At 40.1% G+C, this 22367-nt stretch overlaps 1 pseudogene across 1 annotated transcript in view; it reads right to left on the reverse strand.

Annotated features, from left to right (window-relative positions):
- Window positions 1-22367, reverse strand: part of OFCC1 (orofacial cleft 1 candidate 1 (pseudogene)) — a 506631-nt pseudogene that overhangs the window by 451337 nt on the left and 32927 nt on the right. The window contains exon 2 of the transcript NR_170155.1: window positions 3080-3185. The product of NR_170155.1 is annotated as an orofacial cleft 1 candidate 1 (pseudogene) (transcript). The remainder of the gene's footprint in view (window positions 1-3079; window positions 3186-22367) is intronic.

The raw sequence follows: 22367 nt of genomic DNA on the forward strand, positions 1-22367 counted from the left end.
TAGAGCCTACCAATAACTCTACTTTCCCTAGACCATCCAGATAACAGGCCAAAGATGCTTCATGACTTGGGGATGAGTGGTGTTCGAATTCCAACCACAAAAGCCTCTCTCTGAGGAGACCTCCTCAAGAAGCATCAGTGCACTTCACCGGCTTGGTTTGTGTAAATCCTAATTGTATTTAGAGTATGCGCCAGAACATGGTATCAGACTGGCTCTGTTTCATAAACATCCAAGTCTGACCTCTCAAACACTGACAACTAGCACCTGGCCCCTGGCTATCATGACTTTATTTATAATGGCAGAGCCCAGTCAATGTGTTTGTAAGAAAGTTTAAAAAAAAAAAAAAGCTTTGATGGTCTTAATTATTTGTTATTTAAAGAAATCAATATATTCTGTTTACAAGGTTTTATCAAAACATTAAACATTGCACATTTTTTTCCGACTTTTAAGTTCAGGGGTATACGTGCAGAATGTGCAGATTTATTACATAAGTAAACGTGTGCCATGGTGGTTTGCTGCCCAGCTCATCCCACCACCTAGGTATTCAGCCCAGCATCCATTAATTATTCTTCCTGACGCTCTCTCTCCCCCCACCTGCCCACTCCAACAGGCCTCAGTATGTGTTGTTCCCAGCAATGTGTCCATGTGTTCTCATCATTCAGCTCCCACTTTTAAGTGAGAACGTGTGGTGTTTGGTTTTCTGTTCTGGCATTAGTTTGCTGAAGATAATGGCTTCCAACACCATTCATGTCCCTGCATGGGACATGATCTCATTCCTTTTCATGGCTGCATAGTATTCCGTGGTATACATGTACCACATTTTCTTTATCTAGTCTATCATTGATGGGCATTTAGGTTGATGCTATATCTTTGCTATTGTGAATAGTGTTGCAAAAAATATTGCAAATTATATTTATTTATTTATTTTTGAAATGGAGTCTCGCTCTGTTGCCCAGGCTGGAGTGTGGTGGTGCAATCTCAGCTCACTCCAACTTCCACCTCCTGGATCCTGGATTCAAGTGATTCTCCTGCCTCAGCCTCCCAAGCAGCTGAGATTACAGGCACATGCCACCACGCCCAGCTAATTTTTGTATTTTTAGTAGAGATGGGGTTTCACCATGTTAGCCAGGCTGGTCTTGAACTCCTGACCTCAAGTGATCTGCCTGTCTCGGCCTCCCAAAGTGCTGGGATTACAGGCGTGAGCCACCGCACCCAGCCACATCGCAAGTTTTAAATGCTAAAATAAGGGCCTCAATACTTTGAATCTCTTATGTTAGTCATATGATGACACTGTTTTTAACAAAGGAGTTTGTGCCCTTTACATTATCATACATGTTACATATTACTGAATCATAATCAAGGCTTTACATACCTTGTTATTTGTTAGTGGTCTCTGTCAGCTAGGGGGCTAGAGCTCCACAAGGGCAGGGATTTCTGTCCTTTTGTTCAGTGATACATAATAAGCACCTGGAACAACACCTGACACATACTAGGCACTTAATATGGATTTATTTAATGGATGGATGGATGGGTAGATGGATGGATGATTGGATGGAGCCATATTCCCTACTAGATTACTAGATTGTAAACATCCCAAATAAACATTCTGGAAAAAGTAATACATGTACGTTGTTAAATACAATTCAAACAACCTATAAGAAAAGTATGAGACTCATTAGGGAAATTTGAACAGTGAATAATTGATGATATTCATAAAACACTGCTTGTTTGTTTAGGTGTGGAATGTATTGCAGTTATGGTTTACATATTTAACTACTTAAAGACACAATGACGGCTGGCGTTTGTTTCAAAACAATCTCAAGGCAGAGGAAGAGCAGTGAGGGAGATATGGATGAAACATAATCTACCATGAGTTGACCATTGTTTTGGGATAATGAGTGCATGAAAGTTTATTACACTGTCGTCTCTACTTTTGCTTAATATACTTAAAAATACTTAATTGTATTTTTTTCATAATAAAAACTTAAATATTCAAGTGTTACAGAATGGCATAGAGTTAAAAGCAAGACTCCGTCCCATCTCTGAACTCTTACCCCTACATCCTCTCATTTCCAGCTCATTCATTTAAAAAAAACATTCTTAACTACAAGCACCTAAAATATACCAAGCCCTATTGTAGTCGCTGGAGCTATAGCTGTAAGCAAGCGCTCGCATGCCAGTGTAGAAACAGACAATAAATAAGTTGATAAACAAATATATAAGACAATTTCAGAGATTGATAAGTGCTCTAAGAAAACAAAACCAGTTCTCCCCAAAGCAACCAGTGTTTCCAGGTAGTCTAGGCATTTAGCCACACATGTGTGTGTGTGCGTGCATGTGCACATGCGTGTGCGTGTGTGTGTGTGCATGTGTGCGTGCTCATGTATCACATACCCTTTTATTGCTCAGATGGGAGCATCCATGCTGTTCTATACTTTGCTTCTTTCCTTGAAAAATACATCCTACAGTTAAGTCTATACCCAGACTGTGACCTTTCAAGAGCAAGGGCCACATGAACTCACCCAGTGCCTGTCAGACCCACAGCAAAAGCTTGATAAATTTAATGCCTGATTGAAAGTCTTTCCAATCAAAAACTGGTTAAACAGCAAATACTCTGCCTTCTCACCCTCTCTGTACCTTGCCTCTCCTACTCCAAAGGTAGGATCCAAGGGAGGTTTGCAGAGCTGTGTGGTGCCTGGCATATGGAGAGCTTTCAATCAATGTTTGCTAGAGGAATTCAGAGTGGGATAAGAATTACAGCAAGGCAAAGACTGTCAGACAAACTTCTCCTTAATGAGAGCTGGGCATCTGGTGTGCTGCGCCAGGAAGAAAATGTGTGCCGGGTCCCCAGTGTGGACAGGTGTTCTCTGGCATTTGGAAGCAAAGCTAAAGCTCAGTTTACGGTGCATGCCGCATGGCCTAGTCTGGTTTTGGTTTTTTGCTTTTTGTTTTTGTTTGTTTCCTTCACCTGCTCTAGCTGCTACAGCCTTTTGATAATGCTGTGTTTGCCCTAAGAATCACCTTTAATTCTCAGCAGATCCCAGAGAGATGAACATGGAATCACTGGGCGATCACTTACCTCATGGTTTATTTCCTGAAGGGCTTGACTCTTATAAGATCCAAGATGTCACGTTAATTTTTAAAAATGTATTCTCAGTAGTCATATTGATTCTGTTGTTGTTTTTCTGGAAAGCATTAATAGCAGAAAGGCCACATGAGTTCAGTGGTCACCCAGACCATTTGAGCCCCAAACCTTGCTTAATCTTGAATGGCCTGAGAAAGGTTAGAGGTATTTGACTATTTTCTTAAAAATAAAATACCTGAGTTATTGATAAATACAAAAAAAATGGAGTGAAGGGGAAGAATGACCAACCGTAAATTGGAACTTATTTACTTATTTCCTAGCATTACTCATTTTAGGATAATGCCTATTTGTGTAAACAGAGTTGAAGAACATGAGGATATTCTTCCTGCTACTATATCCAGGTCAATGTGTGATGCTCCCTTTGCTCATCATATTTGTTTAAAAGATTGGAAGATTATTCCAACAAATTGACCTAGAGACCCCTTTTTCACAGCCCAAGATACTTGTAAAACTCTCCTTTTAAAATATCCCTACAAGATCTCATTTGACATAACATTAGTGTTAGGTTGAGTGGGAGCTCAGGTCTTTCCATGATGGTTGTGTGTGCTGGGTGAGTTATATCAGTTTGTGTGAAGAGAGGGAAGTGAATATGAGCACACAGAACATAGCAACAGAGGCTGGAGAATGCCTGCAAGTTTGAAATAGGAAAGGAAGATACCAAAGACATTTTCCATCAGGTTAACCATCAAAATCATCATAGAAAGAAGGACTGGCCAAAATGCTTGAGGTCTGCTCATGTAAACACATCTGTTAGTCAGCTGGGACTGCTATAGCAAAATACCACAGGCTGGATGGCTTATACAACAGACATTTATTTTCTGAGATCAAGGTGCCAGCATGGTTGGGTTCTGGTGAGGGCTGTCTTCCAGGTTTGCAGACAGCTGTCTTCTTGCTGTGTGCTAATGTAGGCTTTCCATGGTGTCCTATTGTGGAGAGAGAGAGATCCATCTCTCTCTGACTTCTTCTTCTTATAAGGGCACTAATCCCATCATGAAGGCCTCACTCTTGTGACCTCATTTAACCCTAACTACCTCCCAAAGGACTTTTAATATTATCACACTGAGGGATCAGGGCTTCGACATACAAATTTGGTGGAAGGGACACAAATATTTAGCCCAAAATAACACTGGAGTAATTTTAGCACTTTACACGTTTATTTCATTTGGTTGTTGTGAGAATGTATGTATATCACGAAGCCCTTTACAAGTTTGCTTTGGATTGATTATTCACTTGACATTCAAGAAATATTTCTTATCATTTACTCTGTGCCTGGTGCAGTCGTAGGCCTTGGAGAATTCAGCAGGAAAAAACAGATATGGTCCCTGTCCTCAAGGAGCTCACAGTTTAATGGGAGAAAGGAAGAGGCAATGAATAAACAAACAAACAAAGAAGAAAGTAAATACAAACAAATCAATCACTTGTGATTTGGCTTTGAAGGACAAAAACAGATGTAGTCCTAGAGAAAAGGATGGGGAAGAGGTGATTAGGAAAGGCTTCTGAAAAGGTGACATTGAAGCTGATACCTGAAAGATAAGAAGCCTGCCCTGTGGAAAATGCAAGAGTGTTCCAGCAGATGGAACAGCAGGTGTGAAGAGCTCCAGGCAGAATAGAGGCTAGCATGTTCTAGGAACCAAAAGAGGTTCCTGTGTCTGGAACGCAGTGTATGATGGGGAGAATACAGCATGAGGTTGGGGGGATTGGGAGGACAAATTGCAGGGGGCCTTGTAGGCCAAGGTAAGGCCTTCATTTTATTCTAAGGATGATGGGAGCTGTTATAGAGCATAAGCTGGGGAAAGAGGTGGTTTGGTTCATGGGACTTGTTCACTGTCATGAGAAGCAGTCAGTAGATAAAGGTAAAGAAGGCAGGAAGAGACAAAGACGAAGCCAGAACCAATTTAGATACTTTGAGTAAATCAGTTTTCTTCTAGCCTTCGCGATCCTAGAAAACTATATGTAGACTTAGTGTTGTTTGAAAATCATTTTTCAGGTGATGAAGGGACTGTGCATTCAGCAGACATTTGTGGAGTGTCTACCCAGATGTGCTATGTGGTGGTAGCACAAAGATTGAATAAGACAAAAATCCTGGCCACCAAGAGCACTTAGGCCAGTCAAGGATACTGACAAGCACACCAAAGACACTCAAAGAACATGTGAAGAGCTCTGAGAAGAGTAGTTAAGGAGGAGGAGGAGGAGGACTCTGAAGATCGAGTCCTGCCAGGGAGGGAAGGCAGCAGGAAAGGTCTTGTTCAAAAAACAAGTGCTGCATGAGCAGATTCCTTAAGGAATGAGGAAGACTTTTCCCAGGTGGATGGAGTTAGATGTGGAAAAGCAGGCAGCGGGAACAGCACACACAAATATTCGGAGATAAGTGAGCCGCGAGCGTGAAAGCCACTGTGACAGCTTGTGTGGTCAGAGCGCTGGGCCCCAAAGGGGAGTGACAATGAGGATCTTCTCTACCAATAAGAGGGGAAGAGGGAAGAAAGCTAAGATGAATTTCTTTAGAAGACGTGTGAAGAACAGTTTGGAAGTAGAATAAAGGCAAAGTAGAATCAGATGCAACAGCCCAGGTAACAATACACTAGTCACGTCTAAGGCAAGATGATAAGCCTTAAAAAGGTAAGACCACATGACAGTCTTCACCGTATTCCCTTGAGCACCAGGTACAAAACCAAACACGCAATATTTTCTTAAATTATTATTAAATTGCATTGAGTAAATATAGTACCCTCACACTGAGGGATCAGGGCTTCCACATATGAATGAATTAGAATTTGTATATTCTAATATACAAAATGTCCAGTTCTAGATTCAGGATAAGATATTACCCTACCACAGAGAGGCAAAGCACTAGGTGCTATTTTTACATATTTATAAGGCCCAAACAGGTTAATGCATATTCTTGACATCACAGATTTATTTCTATGTTAATTTACTTTCAGAAAGCATGTATAACCATAATATACATGGGGAAAAAGTAATTTTATTCATGTGTTTGGACATAAAAAATATCATTATGCAGTCTAATAATCCCAGTTGACAGTTAGAATCATTAAAAAAAAACAGATATATTAAGAAAATTCAAGAAAAGCAACAACCACACTATGGTCTGGCTCCTCTGTTTTGTTGGGTGGCACTGATTTATACCAGCAGGCACAGTCATTTACAAGTCCATTTTGTGATCAATGCCTGGCCTATTTGCCTATATACAGCATTATGAAAAGTGCAGGCAGGCCTGCTAAAGAATTTCAACGGCCTAGACTTTGCAGGCAAGTGAAAAAGAAGGGTTTTTTGTTGTAACCTGTTATGTTTACATTTTTTTCTACCCTACGGTGACAGCACAGGTTTGGGGTCCCTGGTTACATACCAATGTACTACTATATATACCATTTAAAAATTCAAATGGGGTTAGTTTAGATGTTGATTCAGATCTTCTCCAAAATAGGAAAGGGCATTTTTATTCCTTTTGGATGATTCAAATCTTTTCCAGAATAGAAAAGGGCATTTTTAGTCAGTTTGGATAACTTTGAGATTTTTCTAGATAAATTTAATCTGTAAGGGACGAAAGTCGATCGGGAATTATCTCTGCCAATGACTTGGTCCAGCCAGTGAGCTTGTGAGTAAATCCTGCTTCTTCTCCACATAACTTAATTCCCACATTTCCCTCCACTTCCACTGAATGAAAAGAGAAGATGTTTCCACCATAGGAAACCACAGATAATTGAGAGAACTTTCTAAGATAGTTTTTCCTTTCTTCTTTTTATCCTCACTTTCTCTCCCCACTCAGAGCTTAAACAAGTGATACATCTCTGGCTTTCCTTGCAGCCCTCCTCCCCGCCCCTCCTTTTGGATAAGCCTCAGCTTCGTGGCCTGGCATGCCGGAGAAACTGGTTCTACACACCCAGGGGGAAAATGACAGCTTTTCACCGCAAGCTGCTCAGCTCATAAATAGCGAGGGGTAGCGTCCACACACGTCTCGACCTGCCTCTTTCCAAACGCCTGTACAGCCAGCATGGCAGGAAAGTCTTCAGAGAACATTAACAGCTCTTTACATAACTTTCTGTAAAGCAGCTTAGTAATGTTTGCAGCCTAAACAGCCCACAGGTGACAGCTCTGCCATTCTAATGCCTACAAGTGAATGACCAGCTCAACTGGGTGGTTCTTTCTTCTTCCAGAGTGGCCCTGGGAGACAGGGAGAGGGAGAAAAGAACAGAGGTGAGCGGAGAGAGAAGTTAGCTTAGTAAAGAATGAAGTGTCCACAAACCTGGCAAAGGGCCTATGATTTTATGCCTTGAGGTAAGAAAGTCAACTGCTTTTCCTGGAACTTGGTCTAAATTTAACACCCGCTTTTGCAAATGTCTGCTGTACGGTGAGTTGTGTGAGCTCATGGTGGAAAGTGACAAAGTAGGTACACAGCTGATATAATTTATTTATAAATGCATGAGTGCCGAAAGGAGGTAAAATCATGCAGAGTTGATTTAGCTGTTGTGTTGTTCACGGAAAACATGTTGCACACCAACAAAACACACAGATGCACATCTAAATTATTTTAAAGATCACATTTAAACCTGGAAAATACCAGTGGCTTTTTAACTTTATCACATCATAGTTAGGGCTTTAAAAAATGAATCTATTATTGTTTCCTTATGAGACTATAAGAGAAATAATGAATATTAAAATGAAGGTACTTAGTTGTCCTTTAGTATTTAAAACTACCAGGAAAGAAAAAGAAAAACAGTTTAGGTTAAGTTTAAGGAAGGAAAGGAAAAGGGGAAAAAATAGGTTGTCATTTTCAGATTATCATTTCATTTTACTTTAATAAGATTTTTAGGTGGTGACTGTTTTGTTTGTTTGTTTGTTTTGCAAGCTCAACAGTATAACAACAGAACTTAAAGATCTTCGGGTTTGAGAGGAATTATTAAGGGCTAGACCTGTTTTATGTATTGCTTTTAATATACATTTCACAGCATTTACTGCAGTAATCTCTTTGGGGAAATTAGCAATGGAACAATTTCTATATTTAAGAACCATAAGCCTCCATGTATGTTGAATTAACCTATTGTATAACCACAATACTAACAGCAAGGAAAAAGATTTTATTAAAATAGGGTTATTGCACCTTTTTATTTTTCTCTACTCCACTCAGCAGAATCTTAGAAAACTCTTCCATAACCTTAACTTTATCTTCAAACATAAAGTGATTACATGCTTTCGATATACTGTGTTTTTGCTTTTGTTGATAAATAGCTTTCCTGTAAGAAATGGATCATGACAATCAGAAATTAGATAATTGTAAACAAATTATATTTTACTGATAAAAATACAACCACGAATATGAAGACACTTAGAAACAGAAAAAGAGCAAGTTACATTTTCCATACATCAATATATAAAAACAGCCAGAAGAAATTTTTTCAAAATCAGGAAACAGTTCCTGGTCTATAAGGTATAAATCCTAACTCTTTACCAAATGTATAATTCTATGTTTTAAAAAATATTAAAAATTAAAAATTGGCTATGAAAATAGCAATTCATATTATTGTGGAGATTTATATACAATGGGAATCAAATGAGAAAGAAAATATTATATTCTTATTTGTATAGCAATGAAAACAACAGAATAAATCTGGAATTAAAGCTGGTCTTTAAAACAATTTCAGTGTAAAGTTAAAGCATTTATTCTACTGCATATATTTTATAATCTACATAATGCCTAACTCTTGCCCAAGATGAGCTTTCTGCACAGATAGATACTTAAAAGCTACTTTTTAGAGACACTGCTACTCAAGATTTATCATTAAATTTATTCCTTCTCCCTTTCCATTATGGATAAATGTTCTTGAGATCTAGAGAAAAGAACTTCCTGCTTCCTCCAGAAAGTAAACTAAATCAGAAATAAAGAAGAAATAAATATAACAACCCAATAGAAAAAGTACAGAAGTCATCTGTAGTTATACACTTTGGCTTCAAATGAAGAGATAAGCAAATTAAGACCTCCCAGGAAAATCCATGCCACTTCTTACACAAAACCCAAGCCACTACTTGGACATTGAGTTAGTTCAGTGTAGACTTTCTGCCAGACATAATGTATTTGATAAAGCTTCTGGCTTTTTATCTTCAGACTTGGTTTGCTATATTAATTCAAGAGTCTCAGGAATATGAGAAACAATGGCAATAATTCAAAATTTTTCATTATCTGTTCTTGGATATGTCTTCATTTGTCATAACTGTAGGGCTGTAATAAAGGAGCTGCTTCTGTCTTCTCATATAAATTTGGGTTTATTCTTTCTCAGTACTAGTTTCAGTCTTGGACTCCCCTGGCCTGAGGGAAGGGTCTGCGCTCCTTCTCACCCAGGTACCCTCAGCTGGATGTATTTATTACCTCCCACACCAAGACCACCTTGGTCTCTGATCTTTCCAGCCTCAGAACCCATCTCTTCACCTCAGCTATCATCACACCGTTAGTGAAAGGGTGAGGGAGCGCCAGACTTTTTCACACTGAAACTGATCACAAATTCATAGAAAACCCAGAGCCAAGATTATGCAAACCACAGTTTATAATGGAAGCCATTTCTATGTTAAAAGAAAAACCTTAGACAAATTGAATTTACCAGAGTTTAATTGAGCAAAGAATGATTCGTGAATCAGGTAGCCCCTGAACCAGAACAGGTTCAGAGAGACTCCAGCACTGCCTCCTGGTCAAAGAAGAATTATGGACAGGAAAGCGGAAGTGACTACAGAAAAAGGAAGTGAGGTTGCAACTGGGTGTTTGCCTCATTTGAACATGGTTTGAACAGTTGGCCGCCTTTGATTGGCCAAAACTCAGTGATTGGCATGAGAGTAGGTTACAGTCTGTTAACACATCCAGTTAGGTTACAGTTCACCATGCGCGAAGAAACCTTTAGGCTGAACTTAAAATACATAAGGAAGCAGGTTTAGGCTAAACTTAATTTAACACCTATTGAAAAATACAAAAATCCTAAAGCAGGATTCACTATAAATATTTATTTCCAGAATTCCTTTCCTTCCCCTTCTTTGTGGCTTTGCCTATGTTCTTCCTAAAGCCAGGGAACATGCTAATTAGGATTAAAAAGGCCACAGTCTTATCAGTCTTTGGTAAGGCTTTGTTAGCATAATAACCAAAGTTATAAGAGTTGTTTGATATTAACAAGAGAAAGGACTGTTTGTCTTGTCGATTTTCACTCAAAACGATGCAGATGATCACCCTTCCTGCTCCCATATTCATCAAGGGAAAAACTAGAATGTATTTATTGAATGGTGAGTTTGAACCCTGGAATAAAGGCTAAAACCAAATGGGCAGTGGGGAGTATAACACGGAGATCTCAACAGCGGACTCGCTAATGCCCTTGGGAGGGAGCATCTGAATGGGCAGTTGACTCCTGGGCTTTTACATTGGCTGGCTTCTCTTCCTAGAACCTTCTTCTCCCTTTTAGGTTATAAAATACTCTCACCTTCTTCTAGTCTTTGCTAAAATGTTTATATTTTGATGGGGCCTCCCTTGACCATGCTATTTAACATTGCAAACCACCCTTCAGTCCTCCACTATAGATTCCCTGTTTCTTTCTACTACCTACCCATCACCTCCTAACTCTATACTCTATTACACTAGATCATGTGCTTTTTTATTAAGTTTTCATTTATTGTTTGTCTCTTCCCAACCACAAGAGGATAGACTGTTTTGGTTTGTTTTGTTTATTCATGTTCCCTAATTTTTCCAAGCATCTCTAACAGAGCCTATGGATACCATTAATTTCTATCTACTCATAGACTCCATACCTCAGGCCATTTCAAATATTACCAGTGTAATTAAGTAAGGGGTTACATTTAGGTTATCATCCGCCCCCCCGCCCAAAAAAAAAGCCATGATGGCAATACATAGCTGAACAGCTCAGTCTACCATTTTTAGTCTCTTAGCTCAGAATTTTCAATATCTATCAGTTTCCCACCAATCCCTACATTGCCACCAATAACTGAGATTTCCTTTTTCAATCTGCAAGTTATTGCTAACAAGCGATCATTGATTAACTGTGTTCATTAAGCAGTCTATTGAAAAGAGAGAATCTTAGAAAAACAAAAATAAATATAAAAGGTCATCTCACCATGAATTACTGCCACCACACCACCAAAAGAATAACAGTGAGAAGAAGGGAAAGAGAAGAAAGAAGCAGAGGAAGAGAAGAGATGTTAATATATTAATCATTTACATTGGAAAATGATCCTCCTAAATGCTGTTATCAGTTCATATACCATCACTATCAACAGTCATACTTCAGTTTTGGGTTTTGTTTTTTTTTTTTGTAATTTCAAAGAAAAAATGTGAGATAGGAAAAAAATGAAAACACATCATGAGATAGGGAGAAATTTGAGGTCTCAAGTTGACAAACGGAATGTTCATTTTGGTTTTTAAAAATTTAAATAACTTTTTCACTGACACTTGCAGAACAGAAATTATTTTTTAAATTATGCCTCTAAAAGCCAGAAGACGTAATCATAGCACTTTCTCTATTATTCTCACCTCTAAATGTTCATTCGTTTATTTATGTATTTATATATTTATTTATTTATTTTTAAGGCAGCTCCTCCCTCTGACTCCCAGGCTGAAGTGCAGTGGTGTGATCATAGTTCACTCAGTGTTGACTTCCTGGGCTCAAACGATCCTCCCATGTCAGCCTCCTGAGTAGCTGGGACTACAGGTGCAGGCCACTACCATTGGCTAATTTTTATTTATTTATTTATTTATTTTTGTTTTTGAAACAGAGTCTCTGCCACCCAGGCTGGAGTACATTGGCACGATTTTGGCTCACTGCATCCTCCGCCTCCTATGCTCAAGTGATTCTCATGCCTCTGCCTCCCGAATAGCTGGAATTACAGGCATGTGCCACCACACCTGGCTAATTTTTGTGTGTGTGTCTGTGTGTGTGTGTGTGTGTGTGTGTGTCTGTGTGTGTGTATTTTTAGTAGAGATGGAGTTTCAACATGTTAGCCAGGCTGGTCTTGAACTCTAGCCTCAAGTGATCCACCCACCTGGGCCTCCCAAAGCGCTGAGATTACAGGAGTGAGCCACCACACGCAGCCTATTTTTTATTTATTTGTTTGTTTGTTTGTTTTATTTTTATTTATTTATTTTGCAGGGATGGGGTTTCACCATGTTGTCCAGGCTGGTCTGGAACTCCTGAGCTCAAGTGATCCGCCCACCTCAACCTCCCAATGTACTGGGATTACAGGAGTGAGCCACCGTGCCCATCCTGTGGTTGAGATCTTATGTCTCTCTATATTTGCATTCAATATAACTTCTACTATTTTGTTTGGCACAGATATACTTTGTTAAATTTATTATCGGGAGGTAAAAAATATCAGACTGATTTTGACAACTCTCGGGTTCTCGAGTAAGACTTCGAAATTCATAAAGAAAAAGCATTTCCAATTTTCTGTTGCAGATCATGTAAATACTAGAGTGGAGTCTAAAATCTCCTGCCTGTGAACTGAGCCCATGACCCTGCATAAATCATTTGATCTGCTCTGGTTCCCATAATTCTATGCTTATTTATAAATACAGCTGAAAGACTATTAATTTCTTCACCAGGCACAGGTAAAGGAGAGGAATGGGAGCCAGGGCAAAGGATGTTGAGCCAAAGCCAATGTAAACTAAGGCGAAGAAGCCAGTACTGTCATTTGCTATTCAGCACCTGTTTAGTTATTAGTAGATATCAGATGTGTCACTGTAAGATTCTAAGCAAAGGGCTAGAGAGAAGATACAGGAAATTTTAGCCCTGTGGGTTAAGGCTCAGTAGAATGATTTGAACAATATTCAAAGGATGAATCAATGAATCAACATATGAGAGATTCAAAATGCAAATATTTAAAAATCAAATAGGAAAATAAAGAACTCTTTGAGTCAATTTCAAATATTTAGCTCCTGAAAATTTAAATAAATGAAGTTTTCACCTGAGCGCAGCAGCTCATGCCTATAATCCCAACAACTCGGTAAGCTGAGGTGGGAGAATGGCTTGAGGCCAGGAGTTTGAGAGCAGTCTGGGCAACAGAGTGAGATGCCATCTCTAAAATAAATAAATTCATTAATTAAATAAATGAAATAAATTCAGCCCGGCATGGTGGCCCATGCCCATAGTCACAGCTACACAGGAGGCTAAGGTGGGAGAACCACTTGCGCCCAGGAGTTCAAGGCTGCCGCGAGCTAGGATTGCAGCACTGCACTCCAGCCTGGGCAACAAAGCAAGACCCCAGCTCTAAAAACATAAATAAATAAATAATAACAATAATAAAGCTTTTCCTGAAAATTAAAGGTATAGGAAAGTGACAGAGGAAATAGGACTTATACAGGTATTTAAATGAGTATTATATGTTTATTGTGGCAATTTTATAGTAACTGAAACTAACAGAAACCACAAAAGGAGATTAATCAAATTATAGTACTTCATACAATAAAATACTACACATCTGTAAAAATAATGTAAAGAAATTTTTTACATCATGGGAAAGTCTTTTCAATACAATGTTAAGTGGAAAAAAGGTCTACAAATGAGTACATATATATATAATGAGTATATATACAAATGATGGTATACAAATATATATTACAAATATATACAAATATGTACAAATATATACAATTGTGTATATATACGAATGAGAACATATATAATGAAGCCATTTTTATAAATAAGAAAATAAACGTGTATCTGTATACAGATGTTAGCCATTATGTCTCTATTAACTAATTATTTATTAATTCTAATGTATATTTACAACAAATATGTATTATAATTGTCTTCTTAAGAAACAATATGTGTATATATATGTGTGTGTGTGTGTGTATATATATATAGTTTTTTTTTAATATTGTTGTGGTGGTGGGCAGAATAATGGTTCTCTAAAGATGTCTATGTCCTGATCCAAGGAACCTGTGACTGTGATGTGGTGTGTTCACAGCAAAGCAAAATTAAGAATGTGGATAGGGCTGTGGTTGTTAATCAGCTGACCTTAAAATATTATCCTGGATAGGTGCAATATAATCACATGAGTTCTTAAAAGGAGAAGCAGAGGATTAGAGAAGGACATGAGAAGGACTCACTTGTTGTATTAGCCTGTTTTCACACTGCTATAAATAACTGCCTGAGACTGGGCAATTTATAAAGGAAAGAGGTTTAACTGAATCACAGTTCAGCATGGCTGGGGAGGCCTCAGGAAACTTACAATCGTAGTGGAAGGCAAAGGGGAAGCAAGGCACCTTCTTCACAAAGCAGCAGGAAGGAGAAGTGCCAAGTGAAAAGGGAAGAGACCCTCATAAAACCATCAGATCTCGTGAGAACTCACTCACTATTAAGAGAACAGCATCGGGAAACTTCCCCCATGATTCAATTACCTCTACCTGGTCTCTCCCTTGACATGTGGGAATCAGGGGGATTATAGGAATTGCAATTCAAATAAGACTTGGATGGGGACACAAAGCCTAACTATATCACCTGCCTTCACTGGCTTTGAAGTTGGAAAAAGGAAGCCACAAGCCAAAGAATGCAGTGGTTTCTAAAAGCTGGTAACGCCCCTCAATTAATAGCCAGCAAGGAAATGGAGACCTCAGTTTTACAACCACAAGGAACTGAGTTCTGTGAACAACCCCAGGAAAGAGCAAACAAATTCTCCTCTGGAGCCTCTAAGAGAGGAACGGAGTCAGCCTACACCTCGATTTTAGTCCAGTGAGATCCGTGTGGGGCTTCTGACCTACAGAACTCAGATGATAAGTTTGTCTTGGTTTAGGCCTCTACATTTGTGATCCTTTGTTATGGCGGCAAGAGACAACTAACACCATCAGAAAGGGTTTGGAAATGCAGAGAGAACAAGGAGAATTAATTTCACAAATGAGGAAGACTCAGTAGAAATACACCATATATGAGAGATTCAATAGGATCAAAGGTTAATAGAAGGGAAAGAGACAAAGATGGAAAGATCCAGATTACAGAAAGCCAGAGGCACAAATCTGGATGATAAGGAAGTCAGAGAAGATCGAGGTGGTGCATGTCAGTGAGAGGTGACAGCGTGCTCACCTCTGAGGGCTGCGCTCTGAGGGCAGTCCTCAGAGCCCTCGCTCGCTTTCGGCGCCTCCTCTGCCTGGGCTCCCACTTTGGAGGCACTTGAGGAGCCCTTCAGCCCACCGCTGCGCTGTGGGAGCCCCTTTCTGGGCTGGCCAAGGCCGGAGCCCACTCCCTCAGCTTGCAGGGAGGTGTGGAGGGAGAGGCGCGAGCGGGAACCAGGGCTGTGCGCGGCGCTTGCGGGCCAGCTGGAGTTCCGGGTGGGCATGGGCTTGGCGGGCCCCGCACTCAGAGCAGCCGGCGAGCCCTTGCTGGCCCTGGGCAATGAGGAACTTAGCACCCGGGCCAGCGGCTGTGGAGGGTGTACTGGGTCCCCCAGCAGTGCCAGCCCACCGGCGCTGCGCTCGATTTCTCACCAGGCCTTAGCTGCCTTCCCGCGGGGCAGAGCTCAGGACCTGCAGCCCGCCATGCCTGAGCCTCCCAACCCCTCCATGGGCTCCTGTGCGGCCGGAGCCTCCCCAACGAGCGCCACCCCCTGCTCCACGGCGCCCAGTCCCATCAACCACGCAAGGGCTGAGGCGTGTAGGTGCACGGCACTGGGGCTGAGGCGTGTAGGTGCACGGCACTGGGACTGGCAGGCAGCTCCACCTGCAGCCCAGGTGCGGGATCCACTGGGTGAAGCCAGCTGGGCTCCTGAGTCTGGTGGGGACGTGGAGAACCTTTATGTCTAGCTCAAGGATTGTAAATACACCAATCGGCACTCTGTATCTAGCTCAAGGTTTGTAAACACACCAATCAGCACCCTGTGTCTAGCTCAGGGTTTGTGAGTGCACCAATCGACACTCTGTATCTAGCTGCTCTGGTGGGGCCCTGGAGAACCTTTGTGTTGATACTCTGTATCTAACTAATCTGATGGGGACATGGAGAACCTTTGTATCTAGCTCAGGGATTGTAAATGCACCAATCAGCGCCCTGTCAAAACAGGCCACTGGGCTCTACCAATCAGCAGGATGTGGGTGGGGCCAGATAAGAGAATAAAAGCAGGCTGCTCAAGCCAGCAGTGGCAACCTGCTCGGGTCCCCTTGCACACTGTGGAAGCTTTGTTCTTTTGCTTTGCTCTTTGCAATAAATCTTGCTGCTGTTCACTCTTTGGGACCACACTTCTTTTATGAGCTGTAACACTCACTGTGACAGTCTGCAGCTTCACTCCTGAAGCTAGCAAGACCATGAGCCTACTGGGAGAAACGAACAACTCTGGACGCAGTGCCTTAAGAGCTGTAACACTCATCGCAAAGGTCTGCCGTTTCACTCCTGAGCCAACAAGACCGCAAACTTACCAGAAGGAAGAAACTCTGAACACATCCGAACATCAGAAGAAACAAACTGCAGACGCGCAACCTAAAGAGCTGTAACACTCACCGCTAGGGTCCGCGGCTTCATTTTTGAAGTCAGTGAGACCAAGAACCCACCAATTGCGGAAACATCAGCTCTCCTCAACCTTAGAGGAGTGCACCAAGAAGAAGCTGCCTTCAGAAAATAAAATGGAAGGCTGCTGGAGGAGTGGGGGAGGGGGGAACAGACTTTCCCTGGGAAATACGGAGGAGATTTTCTAAAGGCTTAAAGCAGCCCTGCGTGGGCACTGGTAATCTGGAAAGCTAAAGAGAAGTTAATTTAAAAGGTGGCCAGTCAGCTGCAAGCCCTAGCAGAAGAAGTCTGTGCTCAACTGAACCAACAGCACTCATTGGCCCGGCAGCCAGTTGCTGGGGTGAGCCTCATTCATTGATGGAACTGGTAAAAAGCCATGGTAAAAGCTACATGTAATCATGATTGCAGGGAAAAAATGATAAGCTAGTCCTAAAGCTCATTCATTCTCAGTCTTATTGTTCCAGTTTAGGATTCAGCAAGGAGGAATAGCTAAAACCATTTAATCGTTCCTTCAGAATGAGAGCCTGTGTTCTTCGAATTTACTCTGCCATACACAAGCAGTATTTGTGTAAACAGCAGCTTACTGGTCTTGCATATACCCAGATCTAAAGAAAGTGAATGACTGTATTGAATTTTTTTTTTCTTGTTTGTTGCTTCATTACATGAAGTTTGGATCAAAGCCTACATTTAATATAAATAAAAGTTGATCTGCTAAAATATTATGAAAAAGATCATTAAATCCCAAGAAAGTAGCTATTTCTAGAACCTAAAATTTTCTGTTTTTCTGATAGACTGCCAGCAGCTCTTTGTTTGGATTAGAATTAAGTGTCTGCCAAATTGGAAACTGTAAAACTCAATCTCAAAAGATTTTTTTTTTTTTTTTGGTAAATGTAATGGAAGACTAAGCAGCTCTCCTCAAAAATTCACCCCAGTAAACAAATGAGTATTTTCTACATAAAAATTCTGTGAATTTATAAGCCAGCTACTCCCACAAAATTGTGGGGGAAGGAGGAACAGAAGAAAGGTCCAATACAACCTTATTTTCTGGAGGCAATTCCAAGGGTTCCTGGAGTTCTAGAATAAGGTGCCTTGGGGAGGAGTAAAATTAGAGGTGATTGAGTTGTTACAGGGCTCCAGCCTAGAGCATGACAATCAGCCCAGCATACCTAAATGCACCTTGAATCCAAATGAAGACCAGACCATCACTGCTGCCCTCCATGCTCCATGCTCTGGTGCTCAGGAATCAGGGAGATTTCCATGGTCACGGAGAGCTGGCCATGTGTCAGGCCTTTGCTAAGCACTTTCCCAAATACTAATTTATTCTCAAGAGCTGAAGGAGGCAGGTCATAGTATCCCATTTTTGTAGATGAGTAAGCCCCAGTATAGCGGATAAGGGTTTATCCCTCTTCAACCATGCGGTATAAAGTAAATCTCCAGTCATTCTTGGTTCCACTGTCCTGTTTGATTTCCTTCATTACATCTATCTCTACCTGGAATGATTTTGTCTATTTGTTTGCTTCTTTGTTCCCAGATTATGCTTAATAAATATGTATGGAGTGAATTAACGAATTTACCCAAGCCCCCACAATTGTTGGTGCCAGAGTAGAATTTGAACTCAGCTCTATCTGATTCCAAAGATAACTACATGCTTAAAGATTGTTTTATTTATAATCCCAGCATTTTGGGAGGCCAAGCCAGGCAGATCACAAGGTCAGGAGTTCAGGACCAGCCTGACCAACATGGTGAAACCCTGTCTCTACTAAAAATACAAAAATTGGCCCAGTGTGGTGGCATACACCTGTAGTCCCAACTCCTCAGGAGGCTGAGGCAGGAGAATTGCTTGAACCCGGGAGGTGGAGGTTGCAGTGAGCCAAGACTGTGCCACTGCACTCCGCCCTAGGCGATAGAGCGAGAGACTCAGTCTCAAAACAAACAAACAAAAAAAAACGATTGTTTTATTTAAAAAGAGCTACATAGATACTAATGAAATGACATGATGTCTGAGGTATGCTTCAATATATGTGGGGGTGGGGGAGTGTGTACATGAAACAAAACTGACCATACGTTGATAGTTGTTGAAGCCAAGTGATAGGTACAAGCAGGTTTATTGCACTATATTCTCTCTTTTTTGTATGTGCTTGGAATTTTCCATAGTAAAAGTTAAATTTAAAAAATAAACAGAACTTCAATACATTTTTAATTTCTGTCCTTTCCTCTCCTGCTACAATCTTTGTTATTGACAGTTTAAGTTCCATTCTCCTTCTCATGCTGTGGTATCTAAACAATTTCTATTCCCCTTCCTGCCTTTTCTTCTCCATTTCTCTGACTTATGTACAGTAGACAAAACTTTTATTTCTCCCTGAGCACTTCTACATGTAAAATATTGCCACATTCTCAATTCTATCTATTAACCAAAAAGCAGGAATTTAATTCCAAAACTGTTTATGTGCAAATCAGTGAGTTTATGTACAAGTTTAATATATTTAATGATTTTAAGGAAAATTTAAAATTCATGTATGCAAACAAATTGCAACACAGTATGCATCTGACTCATTGTTATTTAAACTCTTAAACATAACTTACATCATTATTCACTAAATGTTCTCCTGAGGTAAGCAAGCAAGCAGTAACACCTATTCAAGGCAATTGCAGGAAATAAGACTGGATTTAAACACCAAATAGGAGAGAAATTTATTGTTTTTGCTTTCACTCTTCTGATTTCTACCATCTTTCCAGCATTGTTGCAGGGGCAAGTGCCATTGATTTCTCAATGTATTTCCATTCTCTGATTCATCCTTGTCACCTGAACCCAAATGATGTTGGAACAGCAATGTGCCCAGCCCCAGATGAGATGTTCACTCTCTCACTCTCTCTTACCTCTAAGGATAGCTTTGTAAAATCATCTGGCTAATAAAATATACATGAAAGCTCACTTGTGCTCCGGAAAACCTTTAACACTTGCTCATGAAAGGAGACAGGAGTAGTTAGCATATCTCTCCACTACCACCCCCTAATACACACACACACACACACACACACACACACACACACACACACTTACTTTTCTTCCCATCTTGAATGTAGTTGTGATGACTGGAGCTACAGCAACCATCTTGCAGCCATGAAAATGGAATCAAACAAACACGGGATGACAGAGTGGAAGAAGGCAAGAAGCCTGGGCATCTAGTGGCATTGCAGGATGCCATTGAATCAATGCAAGCAGCCATTTACTTCTAGACATCTGTTTATATTCTTTAAATCAGGCCCTTTCAATACCTGCAATCAAATACATTCCTAACTGATATCATAATTTTTGCTGAAAACATTTACCTGCAGATTAATATTGATAAATTTAACAGAAAATCAGATTTGAAGATAAGGAGAGATGCTAAAGTGGATGGACCTTACACACATACATGCATAGATTTGTTCAGCTTGTGAAATTTACCCTGTGGCTTCAGGCAATTTTCCTGAGGTTCTGTTGGGTGTTTAAAAACATACAAGTCTCCATTTACTCAAAAGACTGTTTCATTCAGTAAAATGGGTACTAATCTAAACAGTGGAGGACACAAGGCATTCTATATTTTGCTATAAATAAAATTACACATTGTTAAATAAAATATATGCAAAATACATTCATTATCTGCTCCTTCCCTCATGGTATACCTCATCAGTTTCATGACCTCCCCCTACCCCCAGTTACCATTCCTTTTTCAGCTTGTCTTTTCTCTTCTCACCCTGATTGCCACCCACTAACACTTGATCTTCAATTTCTAATTCCTTCTCCCCAGAAATAATTGCTGGACTTTACACCCATCCTGTATCAGTTATTAGACCCTTTCCTTTGCTCAGTATTTACTGAGCACCTACTATGTGCTACCATATGAAGGGTGGGGTGCTGGCAGTGCACCAGTGAGGCCCCCTGTCTGGTAAATCTGATGCTGTAGAACCTCACAAATTCTCTCTTAAATGATATCTCAGGGTAGCTATTTATGCATTGAATTTTATACTTATGTGGCTGAAACTAATGTATATGAAGAAATCACAATGTTTTTAATGTTTCAAAACTTGACATTCCAGACTTGCTACTGCAAGGAAATAATTGGCAAGTGACCTTTAGATGCTTTAATTGGGTGACAAGCTTACTTGGATGATAATTCAAATGGTTCTGCATGTTTAATATGCGCTAAAAAGAAAAAGGTATGTTTGAGTATTTGAGATTCTTTCAGAAGGTATCAGCAGCTTACAAAATACTAGGTCTGAGCAATATAGACAAACACACGTATACACACATATATACACGTGTTTGAAAAATTATAGAATCTTAAACTTAATTCAAGCTTAGATATTAAAGTCCAATTCTATTCTTTGACATAGCAGAAAACTAAATCCCAAAAAGGTTCAGTGATTTAGTTAAGATTATAAAGCTAACAAATGTGTTAGGTTCAATTATTTCACTCATAGAGGAGGTTTACTATATAGGAGTCATCAAATCATGACTGAAAATGGACTCTCTGGCACTCCTGGGAAGAGAGAACTTTAGAGAAAGAAAATAGAACTCAGTCTGTTATTGAGGTAGAGGGGCCGTTGCAGTAGTTGGTTGGAACCATGGAAGAATGAAGATGGGCAGAGCTGTCCATCTTCTGTTTAGTTTTTGAAAGATAAACATATAGACACCATGTCATAACTGTACCCGTAACTGTGATTCGGGGATTGATTCTACAGTTAAAACATTTAAGGAAGAAATTGCAATACTTTTTCTGATAATGCAACATGCTCTGTTTTAAAGCCCTGCTTAGAATGAGAAATACAGAATTCTGCTGCAACTATGACTAAATAGTCTTTGAATCTAGGAATGAAATCAAGCTCATTTGTAACCTCTGTGTGTGAATACATCAGAGATTTCATGGGAAACATGAGTTAGAAGAGTTGAGACTAAGGAGAGGTTACCAATTTGTTCCCCAGTTGGCATTTCTTGGAATTTTTCTCCATGTAGTCATCACTGCTTTGGAATGCAGGCATGACATCTGAAAGGTACTCTGCACAGAAGATCTCAAGATGGCATTGGTAGATTTTTAGGGAGTCTCTGAATGTACCATACTCCCAGTGTCCACTTTGAGGAGAGAGGGCCCATCATTTTCATCAGATTCTCAAGGAAGTCTCTGACCCTAGAAAAGTTAATGATTCTAATAATAAACTTTGTGACTCCGAACTCACTTCATGGATAGAAACATGGTCAATGGGTAAATGAGGCCAGTGCACAATTGGGCTTCTCCCAGTTTCTCTCTCAATGTGAACACTAATTTATGCCAAGCAAGTAGAAAAGAAATATGCATTTCACTGATTTTATTACCTTTTCCTAAGGGTAGGGCCAAAAGGTGAAAAAATTAAGTTGTCAATAGGTACAATTTTGTACTTAACTTGTAAGAGAGCGAAAGTGTAGACAACGTGGAGTGCAGAACACGCAGATAAAATCATTATTTTATCCAGCACCGGCAGAACCCTCATAGCACTGTTCCTCGGCCTGGCCACAGTCGCCTAGGGTAACGTGCGAAAGTGTGTGGAAACCATGATTAATGGTTCTTACTTATCTCCTATTAAAATGCCTAGCGGCTTTTGAATATAGGTCCCTGAACGTTTTAAATTTATTAATTTATTTTTATTAGAATCAGTGTATCCTGACACTAAATTGCTTGAGCACCTTGCAAAAATTCTACAAAACTAATTTATAA

Source organism: Homo sapiens, chromosome 6, assembly GCF_000001405.40.
Source record: "Homo sapiens chromosome 6, GRCh38.p14 Primary Assembly".
Classification (NCBI taxonomy): Eukaryota; Metazoa; Chordata; class Mammalia; order Primates; family Hominidae; genus Homo; species Homo sapiens.